We start from the raw sequence: 8,582 nt of genomic DNA, 5'->3' as shown, positions 1-8,582 counted from the left end.
TTAAGCTCCAAGCCCCATTGTGGGGTACACACTGCAGGAGACCCCTGCTCCAAGACACAGGGGAGCTGTGTCATGGGACTGGGGACAACAAAGAAAATCCTCCTGCTAAAACCAGGAGAGCAGCAGCAGCATCACTAGATGTTGCCCAGGCTTTGGGTGGAAGTTGGATTCTGGTGTGGACTCTGTTGCCATCTGCAGACCAAAGTCTTCTGTGTCTGGTTAGAGGTAGGCAACCACTCTAGTTCTCCTTGTATGTAACGAACTTGGTCAGTCAGATGGAGGTTGATGATTTCACTTTGGAACTACACATGTAGTAGTCTGCTGCCTGTCCTTATCTTTGCCATAATAATCTCTTTCAGGCATGTCTCATGATGCCGAACACTACAAACATGACAGTGGTAGTGAACCAGTGTAAAGCAGACTGTCAGCACAGGGGGTGGGGATTAGGAGGCAGGAAGTGGAGAAGGGGGAAGCTCCAGGTGTTCTGTGCCTCTGGCCATGGAAACCAAAGATACTTCCAGGTCTCCATAGAATTTCAAGTTGACTCAGGCTGGCTGCCTCAGGACACTGCTCTCAAGAAACACAGCTCCTGGTGACACTTGAGGGTCTTCCAGACAATGTAGCCAATTCATTCACTGTTGAGGAAAAAGTATCTTTCTGGCCTCAATGTGCCCTACCATCCCCCTACAACCACCCCATTTCCAAAGCGTCCTGGCCTAGTTCCCAGTCACAACTTTCTTTCAGGAGCACCTCCCACTTGCTTGGGAATGATGGCTTAGAGGTGATAAAATTATCAGTGATCAAAGAGATTCTATTGCTGCCTTTTTGTTCATTGAAAATAAGCTGAGGCCAGTAAGAGCGAAGCATTGCATGAGTCATCAGATGCTGATGAAAATGACAGAATTTGAAGCTCCAAAGTAATCTATAATCTCAATCAAGAAAATACTAAATTTTGCCAGGAATAATGCCAAAATTTAGATTTTTTGCTGTTATTAAGAAAAAGAGTAGTATTTTAAAATAAAAGACTTGATTGCACCTAGATCTTTGCTTTCTGTGTAAGATTGCACTAAAACCTATCTGCTGTCTGTATTTGAAGTAGTTACAACCTTTCCGCAGCCTCGCTGTAGGAGATAGATACCCCTAGATGAACTTGGAAAGCCTAGAGCAGGGGGAACATTTGACTCTCTTCTCTGGAACCCTGGGAGGAAATCACCCGACAGCGTGCTCCTTGCCAAACTGAGTAGAAATGGAAGGTTAAGTAGAGAGAAGGCTGGACACAGTGCCCACAGCCTGAACATGGCGGAAGCACACTGAGCTTTCCAATAGGTCCAGCAATAGGCATGACAGGGGCCATCTCACCTTGGAGCATGGTGACCTATAGCCCAGGCTCTAGGGTGGGAAGCCGAAAAGATCAATGTGAGGTTGAGTCTCCAAGCTTCATTTGAGCCAGAAGGGGCTGAATGGGGGTGGCCATAGTGGGCCTTTATCACATTTAGACAACAGGCTACAAGTTACCAGCTGTAAAACCTTCAGCTGCAGCAAGGACACAAGCATCTGGGGCACAGCCAGACGAACCCCTGTACACAGATATATCCTGAGGGGAAAGAGAAGACGAGAATCCTTGAGAGTGGATTGCAGCTCATGTATTGAATTTGAGCTCCAACTTACTGAGCTTAAATCTTTAATTTGACTGAATATTTACTCCAAGAGACTAACCTTGAAACTGCAATGACACAGTTACCTTGAGAGTGACAAGGCTGAGTTTACCTCTGTCGTTGAAAATGGAAACTTTAAAGTTAAATTGAATTCCACTATGGAGAAGTAAACTAAAATACATTTCTTCTCACTTCAGTTGTACATTGTGAATTTTAAATTCATTACACTATCATATTCTCCCTTTGAAGTCTTAAATAATTTATGTAGTGTGGACAGCAATGTGACTCAGCTGTGAGTTCAGCACTCCTGTATTGGCAGTGTCTGTGGAGCCCACACACAGACCTGGGGCAGATTTCCTGTCTCTGTCTCCTACAGAGAGGCTGGAGGGACGTTGTAACTACTCCTTTAAATACAGGCAGCAGATAGGTTTTAGGCAATCTTACAAAGAAAACAAAGACCTAGGTGCAATCAAGTGCCTCATTTCAAAATACTATTATTTTTCTTAATAATAATAGCAAAAAGCTAAATTTTAGCATTATCACTAGCAAAATTTAGTATTTTGTTGATTAAGCTTATGGATTACTTTGAAGCTTCAAATTCTATCATTTTCACCAGCGTCTGATGACTCATGCAACTCTTCATTCTTGCTGGCCTTGGCTTATTTTTGATGGGCAAATGGGAAGCAATAGACATGTCTTTGATCACTGATAATTTCACCACCTCCAACCCATCATTCCCAAGCAAGTGGGAGGTGCCTTTGCCTCAGAGTCCATAGGACTTCTCAACTTCTCCCAGCTGACAATAGCCCAATGATGACACAGTTTTTTCAGAGGCCAGGACACATTACACATCCTATTAATTAAGTTTGTATGACCAAAAAAAAAAAATTTATTAAGCACTGATGATATGCTAAGTGCCAGCCTGTAATGTTGAAAAATTACAGCCAGTCATATGTTGAAAAATAGGAGTTTCCTTCAAGGAGCTCACTGAGGGAACTTCAAGGAGCTCACTGAGGAAAATAAGATAAGAGAGTGGACTGACAAATACAGCCTAATGAAAGCATTTGCTGAATAATCTAGGTGAAATCTCTCAAATAAATAGACTGCTTTTCCCTCTCCTTTGATGACTGAGAGGACAGAGTGAAAAAGAGCAACAAAGAGGCAAAACCAGGGACAAGAATCAGGCAATAAGTCAAGTTGGTGGTATCAAAACAGGAATGAGAGAACTGTAATGATGGAAAAAATGCTGTAAAAACATTAGCTTGCCATCTGAGGAAAACTTGTCTGACATGTTTCTTCTCAAACTAGTTTCATCCTTCATTTACCATTAGTCAAAATTCACATTATGGCCCATGAGAAGTGCCCTTCTCTGATCCAAGTCCTTTCTAATTTGACCTGTGGGAAATCCAGTGGGTTGAAAGCACTGTGGTGCATTGTGGGAGGGAGTGGTCTGCTGGTAATGGAGCCATGTCAATATAGTCTGCTATGGCAGAAGAAGTAGGAGCTGGGAGCTGGTAATTGAGGAACCAGGAAAGCAAGGAGATGATAAGAAAGAAAGGCATTCTTTCCTTTCATTCAAGTGGCAGGAATAAAAGGCTTTAAGAAAATTATTATTTAAGGCAGAAGAGTCTTCTATTAAAGGGCTCTGTCTTTCCTCTCATATTAATTAAACACACACACACCCCCACAACCTGTGGTACTTATCTAGTATTCTGAGGAGGAAGAGAGGTCAATTACTTTCATAAAAAAATACTTTATGCTGAGACATGCAAGGGAGGTTACTTTAAAATATAATAATCTTATCATTTGTATATAATTTCATTTTCCAAATAATAGGTGTTTTCAAATAGAGTTTGCTTTGGCCTAATTCTTTAAAATGTACCTACAGCTAAACAATAAGTGAGTACAAAGGTGAGTATGTATTAATTCTAAAACTGATTCTATTTATGAGACGTTTTACTTTTTAAAAATGCTTACTGTAGTTTAATACTCATATTTCAAATCCTTTTATTGACCCGTACTGTCTCAGTACAGCATTGATAACATAACATAACATCCACAATAATTAATATCATAAACATGAGATTATGGCTTTCTTACAAAATGTAGCAGATGAGAGAAAGAGCTGAGAAAAACAAAGCTCTTTTCAAAACATGGTGTCTTAAAAACAGTTATTAAAACTGATAGCAAAGAGAACACAGAGCAGTAGCTTCAAAGTCACTTGTGTAATACCTGATTTCTTATTTACTTGCAGAAAATGTGCTTACGGCCAAAATATTATCTCACAAATTAGTCTACCATACTCATATAAAGATGAAACAGAACCTTTTAGCAAAATTCCACCATAAAGAACTACCCTGATGTATTGTTTCTGGGTCCAGTGCCCCAAATCCCAATTATGGACCTGCTTTTCAGGTGCTTTGTTTCAGGTGCTAAACAAAGAGGACATTGGATCTGCCTTTTGTAAGGAAACAAAAGACTGTGGTTGGAGACATGTGATGCCCATCATTTGCTCCTGCTGGCCAGAGGCAGAAAGGACCAGGGGAGGGGAGAAGAGACAAGGGCTACATTACTTAGAAACATCAAATTCTGATGCTGGGAATTTAGGAGAAGCATCCATAGAGAGCCTGGAATTTCTCTTTCTCTGTGTTTTTTTCCTTTTCTTTTTACTTTAAAAAATTGGTATATAATAAATGTACATACCTTGGGGTACATGTGATAATTTAATACATTTATGTAATTTCAAAAGATCAAATCAGTGTAACTGGAATGTCCTCACCTTAAATATTTGTCTTTTCTTTATGCTAGAAACATTCAAATTATTCTCCTCTAGCTATTTTGAAATGTACAATAGATTATTGTTAACTATAGTCACCCTACTGATCTATCAAATACTAGATCTATTTCCTCTATCAAACTGTATATTTGTTTCCATTAATCAGCCTCTCTGTGCTTCCTGAAACAAAGACATCTAACCAGACCTTGGATGGATTCTTGTTCTGGGCTGAAAAGCTTGAAGAAGGGAGAGCAGCTGCAAGGACAGCAGCATTGGAGTGATTTAGTCTTTCCGTTCTGCCTCTAGCTCCTTAGCTGAAAGCTTTTTCTTTGCCTTTAGAGGAACAAAGACCTCTGGGTCCTTAAGGTCCCCAGAGAACCACTTGGTCCCCACAGTGCAAGTCATCCAGTGTAGCATATGGCTAAAACTACCAAAACATCAGAAGGGTCAAAATGATTCTGAAAATTGAGGCAAATCGTCTAAATAATTCTACCAAAATTGTACTTTTGTTCAAACACATAGATGGCTGAGGCAAAAGTGGTCCTTTTGGCTTATCTTAGACAACAATGAAAATTATTTACATCATTTGGTAGGTTTAGATGAGAATTAAAATACACATTTTTTTGAAAAAGTATATTAATGTAGATGAAACTATTGGAATACATTTACCCATAGTATTTCTGAAGAGCAGATGACAATGTCTAAAAGACAGATTCTTATGGCAAAATTGTAGAGTGCAGTGTGAAATCTGCACATACCTTAACTTCAGGGGCATTAGTCATAATAGTGACCTACTTCACTGGGTTGTTAGGACATATGTAATATTCTAGGTAAAAGGAAGGAGATTCTTTGAGCCAACCAGTGTGTCTAACCTTCCCAGAATCCCATGATAACTTTCTTTATTTTCTTTTTTGGTTTATTTGGCTGAAGTTAATGTTAAGACAAGATATATTCTAATATATATCAAAAGAGTTTAGAACCCATGGGCCGAAGAGTTTAGAGCTCATAGTAATGCAAATTACTTACATCATTCCATTTAATACCAGAGTGATATGAGCTCTGCACTGAACAGCCAAAGCTGCAAATAGTTGGCAAGAAAATGAAGGGCCTGTCCCAAAAGAATGCTCTGCTTCAGGCTCTACCAAAGACAAATTCTTCAGTGGAGCATATCAGCTACCATAGGAAAACAGAAGCAAAGTTATGTCAGTGATTCTAGAACCCATACTGCTCTGACTTGAAAGTACGTTGGTGTTTGTTGAAAGCTCATTGTAGCATCATTGGCTATGATCAAGTTCTCATGGTAAAAGAAAAATAGTATCTTTTTTGTCAGAAAAGAGCGTTTGTAATAAATATGATACATTTAAACTTGGATTTTCTTGTGGAAAATAGACTAGTTTTTTAAAGGATAGCACTAAGTTAAATTAATTTATATATCTATAAAATGAGCTTCTTCATTTGTACATTCAATGACTCTAGCTGATTTTCCCAAAATATATCACACAGTCAAACATTCCCACCAAGCTAAGACTAGAAACAAGTTGTTAGTAAGAGGAATAATGGTGAGAAGTAGACCTGCCAAGACTGAATAATTAAAAATGATCCAGAGTTGAAAAAAGCAGAGTATTTTCCCCCACCTCCTTATGTTACAACATCTTACAACAGTAGCACAAATGCTTCTGTGGTTTACAATGAAAATGGCAGAATTCCTTAGGCCAAGGGACTCAGAATATAAATTCTCCCCCTACTTTCCATACTGGGGCCATAGTGGGAAAGATGCAGCTCTCTTGTCCTCTGGCTTTTTCAAATACAGAAAATTAATTTTAATTTTTATTTATTTATTTTTGAGAGGGGCAGTCTGGCTATGTTTCCCAGGCTGGTCTTGAACTCCTTGGCTCCAGCGATCCTCCTGCCTCAGCCTCCCAAAGTGCTGGGATTACAGGTGTGAGCTATCACACTCAGCTCACCCTTCTTGTTTTTAATAAATAAAGTGAAAGCTTTTTATAAAAAGAATGTTGCTTGGCTATTCTCATCTCTAGTAAAGATGGAGAGATAGTAATAGGATTCGACTTCATCAGAAGGAGTTTAGGGTGAGCTAGGAAGAATTTCCTGCATCCAGGAGTGATGAGGCAAAGAACAGCTCCTGATGATTGTGCTTTTCCTGTCCCTGAAAGAATTTGCAGATGATGATACAGCATGTATTTGGTGGGGTGGTAAGCGTAGTAATGGGATCAGGAATGCAGAATATTAGTTATGGAATAACAGGCCGCTCAGTTGCTAAGGAATCCTAAAAATAGGGCATGAGTGACTAGCTGAGAGGGGTGGGGAGGAATGGATGGTTTCCTGGGTTTCATTGGGCGCCCAGATCTGACAAAGACAATGCAGGGCTGCTTTCTGCAGCTGCAGAGATTGAGCAGCAAGCGTGGACAGACAAGTCTGAATCCTAACTATCTTGCAGAGCTATTCTTAATAATAGCTTAGCTTTCTTCCTGTGCAGGCCAGCCCCAACACACACAGTCCTCAGACTCACAGTAAAGTCTTGAGGCTTGGGTTCTTGGGGCAGAACAGAGGTCCACAGTTCCTCCAACAACTGTGCCCATATGCACATCCCCTCTTCCAGCCCCATCTAATTTTCAAATGAATTCCCCAGCTTGGAAACTGTTTGGGTAACAGACTCCCACCCATCATTCCACAGTGTGCAAAGCTGACTATTTGCATACTGTGGTGAGAGAAATCTAATAGGTGAAAAAAGGGTGGATGATTTTATTTTGAAGCAAAGTTGTGTTTGTTGTCATCCTGGACAAGTTGACCTCTGCAAAACTTCTTGTTTTGAAGATTCCACAAAACTATTTTAAGCAAAGTTTACAGCTTATCAAATAAATGGAGAAACTCCCTAGGGAATAATGTGTTAGAAAATTTGCCTGCCCATTTCCCACATCCTCTAACTGACAGCCTATCAATGCTGTGCTACTTGTTTCCTCTGAGACAGGTTCTAATACGGATTGTGGCTTTCATTTGCTTGGTGGGATTTTAAAAAATTTCTGATGTTGTTATAACAAAGGGCTTTGCTCATTTTTCTTTTAGTCAATGACAAAACATGGTAGAAATGATATTTGGCTGCTGTGTGGACACCAGGGAGATGGCAGGAAAATGAAGAGAGTAGAGGAGACCTGGAGGAGGACATCAGCAGAGGAAAGGAAACCTAGCTCTCCTGCCCTGAGCAAGTGTTGCTATAGGACAGAGAAGGTTGGGTTCATGCTCTGTGGATCCCTTTGATGTCTTTGTCCATTCTTTTAAAAAGCTGGCTCAAAGGAAGAAAGCTCAGGGCTCTGTTTCTAAAGATTTCTATTTTACCCTTTTTAGCAATATTATTAGTTCATGGGCTTGGAGACTTAGTAAGTGACATTGGTTTGTGGGATTATACAAAGGACATCCCAACCCAATGGAAAAAATCTTTCCCCAAACTTTCATTGAGATTCACTGCTTTATTAAGACATTAACTTTTCCTGGAAGGCTCTGTTTAATTTAGAAAGAAGAAAAGAAAAAACCTTGGTAGGGAAGAACGGTTATATCATTACCAGACATAATGTGATGACTAGCCAGTAGAATATAGGACACGGAACAGGTGGGTTCTTTCCTATTTTAAATATGAAATATAATTTAGGTGTAGTAAATTTTACCCTTTTAGTGTACAGTCTTGCAAGTGTTGACAAACATGTGTAGTCATGTAACCACCACCATAGTCAAGATATGGAGCAGTTTTCATCACATCAAAACATTTTTACTTATATCAGGGTAATATCAGATATTATCCATATCCCTTCTGGTTAAACCCTTCCCCAATCCCTAGCAACAACTGATCTGTTTTCTGTTCCCCTAGGGTTACCTTTTTCAGGCAATGTCATATAAATAGTCTCATACAATATGTAGCCCTTTTAATCTGGTTTTTTTCACGTAGCATAACATATTTGAAATCTATCCATGTTCTTTTGTGTTTTAACAGTTTCTTCCTTTTTTTACTGCTGATTATTATGTCATTGTAGGGATGCACCAGAATTTATTTATTCATTCCCCAGTTAAGGGACTGCTATGGAATGATTTCCGTCCCCCGCAGATTCACATGTTGAAACCCTAACTCCCAATGTGAGGATTTG

This window comes from Homo sapiens, chromosome 5 (assembly GCF_000001405.40).
Source record: "Homo sapiens chromosome 5, GRCh38.p14 Primary Assembly".
In the NCBI taxonomy this organism is placed as follows: Eukaryota; Metazoa; Chordata; class Mammalia; order Primates; family Hominidae; genus Homo; species Homo sapiens.
The sequence above is the reverse complement of the archived record's forward strand: the minus strand, read 5'-3'. Positions refer to the sequence as shown.